Source organism: Homo sapiens, chromosome 2 (assembly GCF_000001405.40).
Source record: "Homo sapiens chromosome 2, GRCh38.p14 Primary Assembly".
NCBI lineage: Eukaryota > Metazoa > Chordata > Mammalia > Primates > Hominidae > Homo > Homo sapiens.
In genome coordinates this window covers 167,077,611-167,095,875 of record NC_000002.12, presented here as the reverse complement: position 1 = coordinate 167,095,875, position 18,265 = coordinate 167,077,611, and the positions used below count along the sequence as shown (strand labels likewise).

At 38.0% G+C, this 18,265-nt stretch overlaps 1 protein-coding gene across 3 annotated transcripts in view, besides 1 other annotated feature; it reads right to left on the bottom strand.

Annotated features, from left to right (window-relative positions):
* Positions 1–18,265, bottom strand: part of XIRP2 (xin actin binding repeat containing 2) — a 371,274-nt gene that overhangs the window by 163,878 nt on the left and 189,131 nt on the right. The gene's annotated exons all lie outside the window — the stretch shown is intronic.
* Positions 8,260–8,760: an enhancer, noted in NCBI's record as "H3K4me1 hESC enhancer chr2:167943626-167944126 (GRCh37/hg19 assembly coordinates)". NCBI's record gives its function as "activates a minimal SCP1, AML or CMV promoter by ChIP-STARR-seq in naive H9 embryonic stem cells {active_cell/tissue: H9 hESC(naive)}" and the evidence as "EXISTENCE:reporter gene assay evidence [ECO:0000049][PMID:30033119]".

The window sequence follows — 18,265 nt, the reverse complement described above, 5'->3', positions numbered from 1 at the left end:
AAAAAAAAAAAAAAAAAAAAAAAAGAGTGACGCCTCCTAAATCATTTTTATGAGGCCAGCATCATCCTGAAAGAAAAACCTAGCAGAGACACAACAAAAAAGGAAATTTCAGGCCAATATGCTGGTGAACATCAATGTGAAAATCCTCAATAAGATACTGGCAAACCGAATCCAGCAGCACTTTAAAAATCTTATCCACCATGATTAAGTTGGCTTCATCCATGGGATGCAAGGCTCGTTCAACATATGCAAATCAATAAACATAATCCATCACATAAACAGAACCAAAGACGAAAACCACATGATTATCTCAATAGATGCAGAAAAGACTTTCAAAACAGTTCAACACCCCTTCATGCAAAAAACTCTCAATAAACTAGGTATTGATGAAATGTATCTCAAAATAATAAGAGCTATTTAGGACAAACCCACAGCCAATGTCATACTGAATGGGCAAAAGCTGGAAGCATTCCCTTTGAAAACCGGCACAAGAAAAGTATGCCCTCTCTCACCACTCCTATTCAACATAATATTGGAAGTTATGGCCAGGGCAATCAGGTAAGAGAAAGAAATAAAGGTTATTCAAATAGGAGGAGAGGAAATCAAATTATCTCTGTTTGCAGATGACATGATTTTATATTTAGAAAACCCCATCATCTCAGCCCAAAACTCCTTAAACTGATAAGCAGCTTCAGCAAAGTCTCAGGATACAAAATCAATGTGCAAAAATCACAAGCATTCCTATACATCAATAATAGACAAACAAAGCCAAATCATGAGTAAATTACCATTCACAATTGCTACAAAGAGAATAAAAAACCTAGGAATAAACTTACAAGGGATGTGAAGGACCTCTTCTAGGGGAATTACAAATCATCACTCAAAGAAATAAGAGAGGACAGAAACAAATGGAAAAACATTCCATAGTCATGGATAGGAAGAAACAATATAGTGAAAATGGCCATACTGCCCAAAGTAATTTGTAGATTCAATGCTATCCCCATCAAGCTACAATTGGCTTCCTTCACAGAATTAGAAAAAACTACTTTAAAGTTCATATGGAACCAAAAAAGAGCCCGCATTGCCAAGACAATCCTAAGCAAAAAGAATAAAGCTGGAGGCATCACGTTACCTGACTTCAAACTATACTACAAGGCCACAGTAACCAAAACAGCATGGTACTGGTACCAAAACAGATATGTAGACCAATGGAACAGAACAGAGGCCTCAGAAATAACACCACATATCTACAACCGTCTGATCTTTGACAAACCTGACAAAAACAAGCAATAGGGAAAGGATTCCCTAATTTAATAAATGGTGTTGGGAAAACTGGCTAGCCATATGCAGAAAACTGAAACTAGACCCCTTCCTTACACCTTATACAAAAATTAACTCAAGATGGATTAAAGACTTAAATGTAAGACCTAAATCCATAAAAACCCTAGAAGAAAACCTAGGCAATACCATTCAGGTCCTAGGGATGGGCAAAGACTTCATGACTGAAACACCAAAAGCAACTGCAACAAAAGCCAAAATTGACAAACGGGATCTAATTAAACTAAAGAGCTTCTGCACAGCAAAAGAAACTATCATCAGTGAACAGACAACCTACAGAATGGGAGAAAATTTTTGCAATCTATTCACCTGACAAAGGGCTAATATCCAGAATCTACAAGGAACTTAAACATATTTACAAGAAAAAAACAAACAACCCCATCAAGTAGTGAGCATAGTATATGAACAGACACTTTTCGAAAGAAGACATTTATGTGGCCAACACATATATGAAAAAAAGCTCATCATCACTGATCATTAGAGAAATGCAAATTAAAATCACAATGAGATACCATCTCATGCCAGTTAGAATGGTGATCATTAAAATGTTAGGAAACAACAGATGCTGGAGAGGATGTGGAGAAATAGGAATGCTTTTACACGGTTGGTGGGAGTGTAAATTAGTTGAACCAGTGGGGAAGACAGAGTGGTGATTCCTCAAGGATCTAGAACCAGAAATACCATTTGGCCCAGCAATCCCATTACTGGGTATATACCCAAAGGATTATAAATCATTCTACTATGAAGACACTTGCACACATATGTTTATTGCGGTCCTATTCACAATAGCAAAGACTTGGAACCAACCCAAATGCCCATCAATGTTAGACAGGATAAAGAAAATGTGGCACATATACACCATGGAATACCATGCAGCCATAAAAAAGAATGAGTTCATTTCTTTGCAGGGACATGGATCAAGGTGGAAAGCATCATTCTCAGTAAACTAACACAGGAACAGAAAACCAAACACCACATGTTCTCACTCCTAAGTGGGAGTTGAACAATGAGAACATGTGGGCACAGGGAGGGGAACATCACACACTGGGGCCTGTTGGGGAGTTGGGGGCAAAGGGAGGGAGAGCATTAGGAGAAATACCTAATGTAGATGAAGGGTTGATGGGTGCAGCAAACCACCAGGGCACATACATACCTATGTAATAAACCTGCATGTTCTGCACATGTATCCCAGAACTTAAAGTATAATAAAAACAAAAACAAAACACAAACTTATGTACATCTGTAAAAATATATATATATATAATCAAACATACACTTGATAATTATACTAATCAATTATTTAATATTAATATTCTTAATATCTACTTAATATTATAGACCTCAATTATGTTCTATCATTATATTGATTAATAGCATTGATTACGCATCTATTATGTGTAACATCAAAAATATATTTGACATTATTTCTAAAACTTTGAATTGAAACTTTTGGCACAAGTTAAACTTGGCATAGTAGACAGTAAGAAAACTAATTTCGCTTTCACACCTATTTCCACGAATATGGTTTACTTCAACATCTGTACACTCATGGTATTAGAACATATTAATAAATAATTTAATCCTGGTTACAATTTTAGGTACCACATATAAGCAGATGTTGTTGACATAATTTGTTCCTGCAGTCTTTTAATATTTCAGTTAGAGTCACTATTCTTCAGTAGTGGGCTGTCTTTTTCTGGATCAGTATCTGGCATGTAATTTGCTTAAATCACTCTCTACAACTCACAAATAATCATCAGTTTTGACCACTATGTATCTTTCTTAGAGCCCATCTCTGAATAAAACATGATGAAGTCATGGCTTTGGTAGCTTTGATTTATACATGTAATCCATAAATGATGTAGCTAAGTAGCCAAGAAAGTTTTAAAAAATGATTAGCAAGAATCATTATAGTGTTCAAGAAATGATGCCCCGTTGGAAATGGGTATATTTTTTATTTTCAACATTGAAACTGAATTCAGCATGCAGTCCAAAGACACATCACAGTTAACTATAGTGCCACCCAGAAAAAAATACTTTTATACTGAAAAGTGTATTAGTTGGTGGGATGGCTTTTACAAACTATTTTGTTTGCAGTGTTGCTATTGTGTAGCTCTGTGTAATGAAGATCAGGGTGTGCCAGAGACATAGAAGTTCATTGGTAAAGACTTTCTTCCTCAAGCATGAAAATACCACTTGCAGATGGAAAAATTAAGAAGCCTTTGCAATTGTTAATGAGAGCCATAAATAAAAATGAATATGGCAAAATGTGGGATATAAATAATGTGGTACTCTAAGGCAAAGTATTTATAAAGTGAGCAAAATAATTGTGATATATAGAATGGGCTATGACAAAGATGAACTAATTCGGAATTTACTTCCAGGAATCCAGACTAGGTAACTTGGTTCAAAATCCCCCAAGCAACATGATTTTAAAAGCTTGACAAGAGTTTTAAAAGTTACTTAAGGCATTAGAAAGTTTTAAAAGTTGTGCTGAACTCTTGGTTCCCTTCTTCACCTGGATCTTGGCCCAACAAGTCAACACAATCACATTTGGTGTTGCTTTTATCCTCAAGTTCGCTGCTGATATCATCAAAAGTCACAATATCCTAGACTTTGGGATTGGACCCTGAAGTGCTACAAACTAAAGGAAACGTGACCTGACAATTGACCAGCCCTGAAAAGGAAGGAGAACCATCTTCAAATGATCTCAATCCCTGATTGGGTTATGAAAATCTGAGATGTTTAATACCTATAGCAGCCTTCCATCTTGAAGTAGAAAACATTATTAATTATAGTTCTGTAATTATGTAATGTCCAATACTAGTCAGAAATAACCAGGAACATGAAGCTATAGGGCCACAAGATCAAGAAAGTAACAGACCATAGAAGCCATAAAAAACTTAGAGTTTTCAGATACAGAATTAAAACTATGATTCAACATATTCAAGAAAATAAGAAGAAAAGGCTAATAATTTCAGGAAAGAACTTGAAATATTTATAAAAGAGCCAATGGAAATTATAGAGGGAGAAAAAGGCAGTCCCTATAATTAAGTATTTAATATGATGGTTTAAATGAGATTAGACATAGTTGAAGAGGAAGTTAGTGAATGATAAGTCAGAAATACATACAAATAAATACAGATAAAAACTAGGATGCAAAATACGGATAAGTGCATAAGGGACATAGAGGACACTGTGAACAGGGCTATTATAATTGGAGTCTCAGAAGTGGCAGGGGAGAAAGAATAAGACAAAAGCAAATTTCACAGAAGAATTAAGTTTCCCAAAACCAATAAAGACATCAAGTCACAGGTACAAACATCCTATGAAGCCAAGAATGATAAACATAAGGAAGATGACACTTGGGAACAGAAAAATGACTAAAAGTCAATGACAAAGAAGTAGCATTCCAGCTCACATTCAAAGAAGTAACAATAAGAAGACTGACAGTTAACTTCTCATTAGAAACCATGTTAGAAAACCAACAATAGAATGCTCTCTAGGGATTACATTTTATTTTCTTTCTGTATATTGAAGATATCATTCTTTATCTGGCAAGATATTGTTGTGCTTTGAATATGGTCTGTTTGTCCTCACCAAAGCTCATGTTAAAATTTCATCCCCAGTAGGGTGGTGTTGTCAGGTGGGGCCTAGTGGATGGTGTTTGGGTTATGGGGGCAGATGCCTCATGAATAGCTTGGTGCTTGAGTCAATGAGTGAGTTCTTGGTCATGAGAGATCACATTGGTTCTTGCAGGAATGGATTGGTTCCCCTTGAGTGTGGGTTGTTATAAAGCCAGGACACCCCTAAGGTTTCTTTCTCTTTGCATATGTTCCCTTTCCCTTTGACCTTCTCCACCATGTTGTAATGCAGTGCCAAAGCCCAGAGCCATGCTCCTAGGCTTCTCAGCCTGCAAAACATGAGCTAAATAAATCTCTTTTAAACATAAATCACCTAGCATCAAGTATTCTTTCATAGAAACACAAAATGAACTGAGACAAATATCTTACCAACTTGCAAGTAAAATAAAAATATTTTCAAACAAATAAAAACAGAAAGCATATATTACCATCAGACACAGATAAAACAAAAGACCATAAAGTGTTTTTCAGGTGGATGGCAAATGATCCCTGACAGAAGTTTGGAGATGCAGAAAGCAATATTTAAAGAGACTGCTTAAAATAAAAATAATAATGTCTTATAGGACATCAATATAAACTACATTACTCAATCACGTATCAGTTGTGAGTGGGGTATATGGAGTTAAAGTACCCTAAAATCTTTGCATTGTCTGAAAGAGGTAAAACTAATTTATATTATTAATACATTTTGGGAGAATGCATGTTTTAATCTGGCCAGCTGTTATTAAAGTGTGGTTCTCAAGTCTAAGGGACCCCCAAGATGCCTTCAGTAAGTTCATAAAGACACAATTATTTTAATTACAGCAATAAGAAATAATTTTCCCTCTTCACTGAGTTGGCATTTGATCTGATTTATAGAATACAAGATAAGTTAAACTTTTAATCTCTTAGCACAAATCAAGGCAATGATCCTAAACAGTACTAGTTTTAACTCTACTTTTCTATGCCAGATGTCTGCAATTCTTTTTTCTCGTAAGGTCCAGATAGGAAATGCTTTAGGTTTTGCAGGCCATAAAGCCTCTGTCTCTACTACCAAACTGCATTTGAAGAGCAAAAACGTTTTAGATAATACATAAACAAATGGGCATAGCTGCGTTTCGATAGAACTTTATCTTAAAAAAAATGTAGCTGTGGGCTAACTCTGACTGGTAAGTCAAAAGTTTGCTAACCCCTGTTCTGTGTCACGTAATGCAGCAAAAACAAGTAATACACGCACACATATGTTTACTTAAGTAACACACATGCACATTTACTTAATACACCCCCCCACACACATTTACTTAAGTAATACACACACACACATATGCATTAAGAACATCCTTGCTGAAAGCAGTAGAAATTATGGATTTTATTAAATCTTGACCCTCATGCGCACAACATTTTGATATTCCTTGTGACATAATGGGAAGTAAGCATAAAGCATTTTGCCTGGCTGCTGGCTGCTGAAGTGTGATGACTGTCTTGAGGCAATGCACTTATATGATTGTATCAGTTGTGAGCTGAGCTAATTGCTTTTTCATGGAACAACATTGCTACTTGAAAGAACAATTAACTGATGAACTATGGTTATTCAGATTTGAAATTAGGTAGAGTAGCCAAGGAGACACGGAAAAAATCTCTAATAATGAGTTTTAGAAAAAGTTGTCTTTGCTATTGGAAAAGTGATACCCTAATAGTTGCTTTTCTTCCTCTGGACATTGTCCTCTCTACATGTGATGCTGGAACTGTGACAACCATCTCTTAAGGCAGAATGTAGCTTACCTGAGGATGAAGCTGACATCATCCTAAGTAGTACACTGCTGGTGTACTAAGTTGACAGGATTGTGGTAGCAGGGTAACTATTCCACTATTATCAGGTCATTAATTTGTCCATTTATTTACCAAACATTTGTTGAGTGCTAATTACATGCCAGGTACAGGGAAAAATGGCAGAGTTCCTCACCTCCTGGAGGTTACATTCTAGTAGGGAAGACAGAGAATGAAATTGTATTTAGATTCATGAGAATTCAGAGTGCTATGAAAATGTGATCTATCTTGGGGCATAGTGAATGCTTTTCTGAGAAAATGTGAAGTATAAGCTAAACATGAAAGATGAATAAGAGTTATCTGGGATAAAGTATAGGGAAGAGTTTGCAGAAAGGAAAATGTGTTTGAAGTTGAGAAAGCAAGGAGCATGTGCTAGGGATTTGGGGGAATTGAGGAAGGCCAGTATGCCTGGGGCACAACGGACAAGGAATGGCAGATGGAGAGGCTGGAAAAGCCATTGGCCCTGTGATTGTAGAATGTTATGGCCAAATTAAGATTTTTGAACTTTATCCTAGAAGATATGCAAGTGTACTGAGGTTTCAAATCTGGGGCTTGATATGTTCATATTGGCATTTTTGAAAGATCATCCTGGCTGTAATGTGGAGAATAGGTTGTACTAAAACTGAGTTAGAAGCCAAGACCTTGGTGAAGTGTCACACAGCTGTCCAGGAGAGAGATTAAGTGACTTTAAGTGGGTCAGTGGCAGTGGTGTGGAAACATGTGGAAATGTCACCTAGTCAGAAATGCAGGGAATGGAGAATGTGAGGCTCAAGTGGAGTCCTGAAGAGCGCCTAAGAGGTGGCTAGGATAAAAGATAATGAAAAATTACTGACAAACTTCCTGCTTTAGGGGATGGTGCAGGGAAAGGAGCATACATAAAATGCTGCAGACCAAGTCCCAGATGAAAATTTCTGAACTTTTCATCATAATTTATAATTTTTGATACTTTTAAACATCCATGATTTTGCTCAACTATACTTCCTATTCTTTCCAAAGGAAATATTTTAAGATAGCTGTTGCCAGAAATTAATAGTGGCCACTGAAATATTTTCATATGACCAATGGCTTACAAACTTATCATCTTTTATGTAATTAAATTTAATTCATGAAAATACATGGTGGGGAGGAGCCAAGATGGCCGAATAGGAACAGCTCTGGTCTACAGCTCCCAGCGTGAGCGACGCAGAAGAAGGGTGATTTCTGCATTTCCATCTGAGGTACCGGGTTCATCTCACTAGGGAGTGCCAGACAGTGGGCGCAGGTCAGTGGGTGCACGCACCGTGCGCGAGCCGAAGCAGGGCGAGGCATTGCCTCACTTGGGAAGCGCAAGGGGTCAGGGAGTTCCCTTTCCGAGTCAAAGAAAGGGGTGACAGACGCACCTGGAAAATCGGGTCACTGCCACCCAAATACTGCGCTTTTCCGACCGGCTTAAAAAACGGCACACCACGAGATTATATCCCGCACCTGGCTCGGAGGGTCCTACGCCCATGGAGTCTCGCTGATTGCTAGCATAGCAGTCTGAGATCAAACTGCAAGGCGGCAGCGAGGCAGGGTGAGGGGCACCCGCCATTGCCCAGGCTTGCTTAGGTAAACAAAGCAGCCGGGAAGCTCGAACTGGGTGGAGCCCACCACAGCTCAAGGAGGCCTGCCTGCCTCTGTAGGCTCCACCTGTGGGGCAGGGCACAGACAAACAAAAAGACAGCAGTAACCTCTGCAGACTTAAATGTCCCTGTCTGACAGCTTTGAAGAGAGCAGTGGTTCTCCCAGCACGCAGCTGGAGATCTGAGAACGGGCAGACTGCCTCCTCAAGTGGGTCCCTGACCCCTGACCTCCGAGCAGCCTAACTGGGAGGCATCCCCCAGCAGGGGTACACTGACACCTCACACGGCAGGGTATTCCAACAGACCTGCAGCTGAGGGTCCTGTCTGTTAGAAGGAAAACTAACAAACAGAAAGGACATCCACACCAAAAACCCATGTGTACATCACCATCATCAAAGACCAAAAGTAGATAAAACCACAAAGATGGGGAAAAAACAGAACAGAAAAACTGGAAACTCTAAAACGCAGAGCGCCTCTCCTCCTCCAAAGGAACGCAGTTCCTCACCAGCAACGGAACAAAGCTGGATGGAGAATGACTTTGGCCAGCTGACAGAAGAAGGCTTCAGACGATCAAATTACTCTGAGCTACAGGAGGACATTCAGACCAAAGGCAAAGAAGTTGAAAACTTTGAAAAAAATTTAGAAGAATGTATAACTAGAATAACCAATACAGAGAAGTGCTTAAAGGAGCTGATGGAGCTGAAAACCAAGGCTTGAGAACTACGTGAAGAATGCAGAAGCCTCAGGAGCTGATGCGATCAACTGGGAGAAAGGGTATCAGCAATGGAAGATGAAATGAATGAAATGAAGCGAGAAGGGAAGTTTAGAGAAAAAACAATAAAAAGAAATGAGCAAAGCCTCCAAGAAATATGGGACTATGTGAAAAGACCAAATCTACGTCTGATTGGTGTACCTGAAAGTGATGAGGAGAATGGAACCAAGTTGGAAAACACTCTGCAGGATATTATCCAGGAGAACTTCCCCAATCTAGCAAGGCAGGCCAACGTTCAGATTCAGGAAATACAGAGAACGCCACAAAGATACTCCTTGAGAAGAGCAACTCCAAGACACATAATTGTCAGATTCACCAAAGTCGAAATGAAGGAAAAAATGTGAAGGGCAGCCAGAGAGAAAGGTTGGGTTACCCTCAAAGGGAAGCCCATCAGACTAACAGCGGATCTCTCAGCAGAAACCCTACAAGCCAGAAGAGAGTGGGGGCCAATATCCAACATTCTTAAAGAAAAGAATTTTCAACCCAGAATTTCATATCCAGCCAAACTAAGCTTCATAAGTGCAGGAGAAATAAAATACTTTACAGACAAGCAAATGCTGAGAGATTTTGTCACCACCAGGCCAGCCCTAAAAGAGCTCCTGAAGGAAGTGCTAAACATGGAAAGGAACAACCGGTACCAGCTGCTGCAAAATCATGCCAAAATGTAAAGACCATCGAGACTAGGAAGAAACTGCATCAACTAACGAGCAAAATAACCAGCTAACATCATAATGACAGGATCAAATTCACACATAACAATATTAACTTTAAATGTAAATGGGCTAAATGTTCCAATTAAAAGACACAGACTGGCAAATTGGATAAAGAGTCAAGACCCTTCAGTGTGCTGTATTCAGGAAACCCATCTCACATGCAGAGACACACATAGGCTCAAAATAAAAGGATGGAGGAAGATCTACCAAGCAAATGGAAAACAAAAAAGGCAGGGGTTGCAATCCTAGTCTCTGATAAAACAGACTTTAAACCAACAAAGATCAAAAGAGACAAAGAAGGCCATTACATAATGGTAAAGGGATCAATTCAACAACAAGAGCTAACTATCCTAAATATATATGCACCCAATACAGGAGCACCCAGATTCATAAAGCAAGTCCTGAGTGACCTACAAAGAGACTTAGACTCACACATATTAATAATGGGAGACTTTAACACCCCACTGTCAACATTAGACAGATCAACGAGACAGAAAGTCAACAAGGATACCCAGGAACTGAACTCAGCTCTGCACCAAGCAGACCTAATAGACATCTACAGAACTCTCCACCCCAAATCAACAGAATATACATTTTTTTCAGCACCACACCACACCTATTCCAAAATTGACCACATACTTGGAAGTAAAGCTCTCCTCAGCAAATGTAAAAGAACAGAGATTATAACAAACTCTCTCTCAGACCACAGTGCAATCAAACTAGAACTCAGGATTAAGAAACTCACTCAAAACCGCTCAACTACATGGAAACTGAACAACCTGCTCCTGAATGACTACTGGGTACATAACGAAATGAAGGCAGAAATAAAGATGTTCTTTGAAACCAACGAGACCAAAGACACAACATACCAGAATCTCTGGGACACATTCAAAGCAGTGTGTAGAGGGAAATTTATAGCACTAAATGCCCACAAGAGAAAGCAGGAAAGATCCAAAATTGACACCCTACCATCACAATTAAAAGAACTAGAAAAGCAAGAGCAAACACATTCAAAAGCTAGCAGAAGGCAAGAAATAACTAAAATCAGAGCAGAACTGAAGGAAATAGAGACACAAAAAAACCCTTCAAAAAATTAATGAATCCAGGAGCTGGTTTTTTGAAAGGATCAACAAAAGTGATAGACCGCTAGCAAGACTAATAAAGAAAAAAAGAGAGAAGAATCAAATAGACACAATAAAAAATGATAAAGGGGATATCACCACCGATCCCACAGAAATACAAACTACCATCAGAGAATACTACAAACACCTCTACGCAAATAAACTAGAAAATCTAGCAGAAATGGATAAATTCCTCAACACATACACTCTCCCAAGACTAAACCAGGAAGAAGTTGAATCTCTGAATAGACCAATAACAGGATCTGAAATTGTGGCAATAATCAATAGCTTACCAACCAAAAAGACTCCAGGACCAGATGGATTCACAGCCGAATTCTACCAGAGGTACAAGGAGGAACTGGTACCATTCCTTCTGAAACTATTCCAATCAATAGAAAAAGAGGGAATCCTCCCTAACTCATTTTATGAGGCCAGCATCATCCTGATACCAAAGCCGGGCAGAGACACAACCAAAAAAGAGAATTTTAGACCAATATCCTTGATGAACATTGATGCAAAAATCCTCAATAAAATACTGGCAAAACGAATCCAGCAGCACATCAAAAAACTTATCCACCATGATCAAGTGGGCTTCATCCCTAGGATGCAAGGCTGGTTCAATATACGCAAATCAATAAATGTAATCCAGCATATAAACAGAACCAAAGACAAAAACCACATTATTATCTCAATAGATGCAGAAAAGGCCTTTGACAAAATTCAACAACAATTCATGCTAAAAACTCTCAATAAATTAGGTATTGATGGGATGTATTTCAAAATAATAAGATCTATCTATGACAAACCCACAGCCAATATCATACTGAATGGGCAAAAACTGGAAGCATTCCCTTTGAAAACTGGCACAAGACAGGGATGCCCTCTCTCACCACTCCTATTCAACATAGTGTTGGAAGTTCTGGCCAGGGCAATTAGGCAGGAGAAGGAAATAAAGGGTATTCAATTAGGAAAAGAGGAAGTCAAATTGTCCCTGTTTGCAGACGACATGATTGTATATCTAGAAAACCACATTGTCTCAGCCCAAAATCTCCTTAAGCTGACAAGCAACTTCAGCAAAGTCTCAGGATACAAAATCAATGCACAAAAATCACAAGCATTCTTATACACCAACAACAGACAGAGAGCCAAATCATGAGTGAACTGCCATTCACAATTGCTTCAAAGAGAATAAAATACCTAGGAATCCAACTTACAAGGGATGTGAAGGATCTCTTCAAGGAGAACTACAAACCACTGCTCAAGGAAATAAAAGAGGATACAAACAAATGGAAGAACATTCCATGGCCATGGGTAGGAAGAATCAATATCATGAAAATGGCCATACTGCCCAAGGTAATTTACAGATTCAATGCCATCCCCATCAAGCTACCAATGACTTTCTTCACAGAATTGGAAAAAACTACTATAATGTTCATATGGAACCGAAAAAGAGCCCGCATCGCCAAGGCAATCCTAAGCAAAAAGAACAAAGCTGGAGGCATCACACTACCTGACTTCAATCTATACTACAAGGCTACAGTAACCAAAACAGCATGGTACTGGTACCAAAACAGAGATATAGATCAATGGAACAGAACAGAGCCCTCAGAAATAATGCCGCATATCTACAACTATCTGATCTTTGACAAACCTGAGAAAAGCAAGCAATGGGGAAAGGATTCCCTATTTAATAAATGGTGCTGGGAAAACTGGCTAGCCATATGTAGAAAGCTGAAACTGGATCCCTTCCTTACACCTTATACAAAATCAATTCAAGATGGATTAAAGACTTAAATGTTAGACCTAAAACCATAAAAAACCCTAGAAGAAAACCTAGGCATTACCATTCAGGACATAGGCATGGGCAAGGACTTCATGTCTAAAACACCAAAAGCAATGGCAACAAATGACAAAATTGACAAACGGGATCTAATTAAACTAAAGAGCTTCTGCACAGCAAAAGAAACTACCATCAGAGTGAACAGGCAACCTACAAAATGGGAGAAAATGTTCACAACCTACTCATCTGACAAAGGGCTAATATCCAGAATCTACAATGAACTGAAACAGATTTACAAGAAAAAAACAAACAACCCCATCAAAAAGTGGGTGAAGGACATGAACAGACACTTCTCAAAAGAAGACATTTATGCAGCCAAAAAACACATGAAAAAATGCTCATCAGTGGCCATCAGAGAAATGCAAATCAAAACCACAATGAGATACCATCTCACACCAGTTGGAATGGCAATCATTAAAAAGTCAGGAAACAATAGGTGCTGGAGAGCATGTGGAGAAATAGGAACACTTTTACACTGTTGGTGGGACTGTAAACTAGTTCAACCATTGTGGAAGTCAGTGTGGCGATTCCTCAGGGATCTAGAACTAGAAATACCATTTGACCCAGCCATCCCATTACTGGGTATATACCCAAAGAACTCTAAATCATGCTGCTATAAAGACACATGCACATGTATGTTTATTGCGGCATTATTCACAATAGCAAAGACTTGGAACCAACCCAAATGCCCAACAATGATAGACCGGATTAAGAAAATGTGGCACATATACACTATGCAATACTATGCAGCCATAAAAAAGGATGAGTTCATGTCCTTTGTAGGGACATGGATGAAATTGGAAAGCATCATTCTCAGTAAACTATCGCAAGAACAAAAAACCAAACACCGCATATTCTCACTCACAGGTGGGAATTGAACAATGAGATCACATGGACACAGGAAGGGGAATATCACACTCTGGGGACTGTGGTGGGTAGAGGGAGGGGGGAGGGATAGCATTGGGAGGTATACCTAATGCTAGATGACGAGTTAGTGGGTGCAGCGCACCAGCATGGCACATGTATGCATATGTAACTAACCTGCACACTGTGCACATGTACCCTAAAACTTAAAGTATAATAATAAAAAAAAAGAAAATACATGGTTAAGTGGATATAAGTGTATGATTCTACTACTTCTAGCCTTCTATGCTTTCTCATGTAAGGTACCACAATTGATGGAAACAAGAATCATTTATTAAGAGCTCTCTGACATGCTAAGATATCCCTTGAATATTTTTAAGAAATTCAAAGGAAATCATACATCAAAGCCAATTACACCTTCTTGTGTGCTAATTTCTGTTAACTCCTGAATAGCTTTAGTTTAACTGTAAGTTAAAGGATCTATATTTAAATACTTTCTGACTTCTGGACCAGTAATTAAAGATCTCTTATTTTATTCATCTTAGATAAATAATAACAAATAGCACTTGAATTCTCAGAAACTGAAAACACTTTATTGTGAGAATAGTTTTTAATTAATCTGACTATTTTACAAACAGAAGACAATTTCTTAATGAAAGTAATCATGTAATATGTATTCCTTTTCTATTTTTCATCTTAAAAAATTTTTTAGAGGCAGTTTTACTCTGCCACCCAGGCTGGAGTACAGTGGTGCAATCACTGCTGACTGTAGCCTCGAACTCCTGGATTCAGGTAATCCTCTCACCTCTGCTTCTCTGCTTCCTGAGTAACTCAGACTACAGGCCCAACTAAGTTTTTTAATTTTTATTTTTTGCAGACATGAGGGTCTTGCTGTGTTGCCCAGGCTGGTCTCAAAATCCCAGCCTCAAGTGATTCTCCTGCCTTTACCTCCCAAAGTGCTGGGATTATAGGCATGAGACACTGTGCCTGCCCTTGTATTTCAATTCCTTTCCATTGGAAGGAATGAAGATCTCTGGTTTCTCTCTGAAGTTTTAACAGTATTAAGCAATCCAAGTTATATATAGTTATTTTATTTAGAAATTTAAATATTACCCCTTGCATAAATTTAAAAAGTTGACTTTAAAGCAAATCTTACATTATTTCTTTAATAAATTACCTCATTTAAAAATAATAATTATATGGAACATTGTATACTCAGATCAGAAATTTGTTACATATTGTTGTCTCAAAACTTGCAAAATTTTTACATCTAATATTTTAGAAATTATAAAATATTTTCTCAATGCAACCTTAAACATGATTTGTTAAAACTTTAAATAAATCAAGGTTAAATAAAAAATTGCACCCATTGGAATGGCTACATTTCTCACCATAAATTATTCTTTCTTATAGGGAAACGTTCCATTGGAATTCTAACTTAGAGAAAGATATTTTATTCTAGTACTCCAAAGCATAAACTAATATTCATACAGTAAACAGAATCCTGAGTTAATCCATTTAATAAAAATATATTTTTGTTTTTCAACCTTTCAAATGAGACTGAGATGTTTCCACCTTCCTTCCTTCCATCTCTTTGCTTTGCTTAATCTCCTAGGGATGAGAGGAATTGAATATACTTCATGCCCATCTTTACAATACTAAGGCTCCTTTTCTTCTGAGTTCTACCTTATTATGTATGTTATCCCATTAGATTCTGGCCCTTTGGTGGCTCTGGCATTAGTGTTTGCTTTCTGTCCCTGAAGGTGCATCACAGTATCAGTTAGTCTGGCAGTATCCTCATGTTTTCTCCAGGACAGTGCAATTTAAGCATCCTGTTTTATCTCTCTGGGATTTTTGTCTTCTCTGAGAATTTATTCTAAAATTTCTCATTATCTGGTCAATTCTTAGAATATTTTGTGAAATAACTTTTCCTTTTTTACCCCACATCTTTCCTTCAGAAATTGGTCAAATTAACCAACATCACCATTATAGCAAACAACACAATAGCTAAATACCACTTTTCGCCATTTATTTTCAATGCTACAACTTTTGCCCAAGCTTCCATCATATCTTGCCTGGATTATTGCAATAGTCTCCTAACTGGCCTCTTTTTTTTGGACACCAACAGTCTGTTTTATTTTATTTTATTTTATGTTTGGATAAATGCCCACTTTTACAAGTCAGATCTCAAATTAAAAATCTAACATCACAACTAGTGGAAAAACAACAATAACAAAAAATAAACCCAAAAAAACAAAAAACAAAAATGAAAACCAAAAAAAGAGCAAACTAATCCCAAAGCTAGCAGAAGAAAAGATATAACCCAAATCAGAGCAGAATGGAATGAAATTGAGACTCAAAAATCCTATGAAGAATCAACAAAACCAAAAGTTGGTTTTTAGAAGGATAAGCAACATAGATAGACCACTAGCTAGATTAACAGAGCAAAAAAGAGAAAATCCAAAGACGTACAATCAGAGACGGCAAAGGTGACATTACAACTGATCCACTAGAAATAAAAAAGATCCTCAGAGAGTACTATGAATGCCTCTATGCACATAAACTAGGAAGTTGAGAGGAAATGGATAAATCCCTGGAAACATACAGCCTCCATGACTGAGTCAGGAAGAAATTGAAACCCTGAACAGATCAATCTTAAGTTCTAAAACTGAATCAGTAATAATAAAATAAAACCCACCAACCAATAAAAGGCCCCAATCAAAGGAATTCACAGCCGAATTCTACCAGACGTACAAAGAAGAGCTGGTACCAATTCTACTTGAACTGTTCTAAAAAATTGAGCGGGGGGATTCCTCCCTAACTCATTTTTTGAAGCCAGTATCACTCTGATACCAAAATATGGTAAACACACAATGTAAAAGAAAAACACATGCCAACATTCCCCAACAAAATATTAGTAAACCAAATCCAGCAGCACATCAAAAACTTAATTCACTACAATCACGTAGGCTTCATTTCTTGGATGCAAGTTTGGTTCAACATATGCAAATCAATACGTGTGATTCATCACAAAAAAGAATTAGAAACAAAAACTGTACGTTTATCTCAATAGATGTGGGAAAAGCATTCAATAAAATCCAACATCCTTTCATGATAAAAACCCTCAGGAAACTATGCATTGAAAAGAAATACCTCAAAATAATCAGAGCCATGTATGACAAACCCACAGCCAACATAATACTGAATAGGCAAAAGCTGGAGGCAGTCCCCTTGAGAACTGGAACAAGACAAGGATTCCTACTGTTACCACTCCTATTCAATATATTGTTGGTGCAAAAGTCATTGTGATTTTTGCCATTCCTTTTTTTTTTTTTTTTTGAGACGGAGTCTCACTGTGTCGCTCAGGCTGGAGTGCAGTGGCGCGATCTCGGCTCACTGCAAGCTCCAACCTCCAGGGTTCATGCCATTCTCCTGCCTCAGCCTCCCAAGTAGCTGGGACTGCAGGCGCCCGCCACCATGCCCTTGCTAATTTTTTGTAATTTTAGTAGAGACAGGGTTTCACCATGTTAGCCAGGATGGTCTTGATCTCCTGACCTCGTGTTCTGCCCACCTCGGCCTCCCAAAGTGCTGGGATTACAGGCGTGAGCCACCACTCCCGGCCAGTTTTTGCCGTTAAAGGCAAAAACCGCAATTACTTTTGCACCAACCTAATAGTACTGGAAGTCCCATCCAGAGCAAGCAGGCAAGAGAAAGAAATAAAAGGCATACAAATAGGAAAAGGAAAAATCCAACTATCTCTCCTCATTGACAATATGATTCTAAATTAGAAAACCCTAAAGACTGAAAAGCGTCCTTGAACTGATAAGCTTCAGTGAAGTTTCAGGACACAGTATCAATGTACAAAAATCTGCAGCATTTCTATACACCAAAAAAAATTCAAGCTGAGAGCTAAATCAAGAATGCAATCCCATTTACAATAGCTACACACACAAATAAAATACCTAGGAATACATCTAACTGAGGAGGTGAAAGATCTCTAGAAGAACTATAAAATATTGCTGAAAGAAATTATAGATGACGCAGACAAATGAATAAACATTCCATGCTCATGGATTGGAAGAATCAACATTATTGAAATGGCCACACTGCCCAAAGCAATCTACAGATTCAATGCTATTTCTATAAAACTACTAACGTCATTTTTCAAAGAAATAGAAACAAACTATTCTAAAATTCATACGCAATCAAAAACAAAAGCCCAAATAGCCGAAGCAATCCTAAGCAAAAAGAAAAAAGCCAGAGGCATCATATTACCCAACGTCGAACTATACTATACGCCAATAGTCTATTTTCAACAGCACAGTCAAGTATCCTATAAAACCCTAAAACTGGTTATGTTTCTTCTCTGCTCCAAATCTTTCACACCTTCCCTTGTCACTCTGGGTAAAAGCCAAACCCTTAACATGGCCCATAGGTCTTTTCTCTGACACCTGAGACATAATCCTGCCTTCAGGCCTTAGCACTTGCTGTTCTGTATGGTAGAACCATACTTTCCCCAGGTGTCCATACTTACTTCTTTAAGACTTTCAGCTCTTTACTCAGATG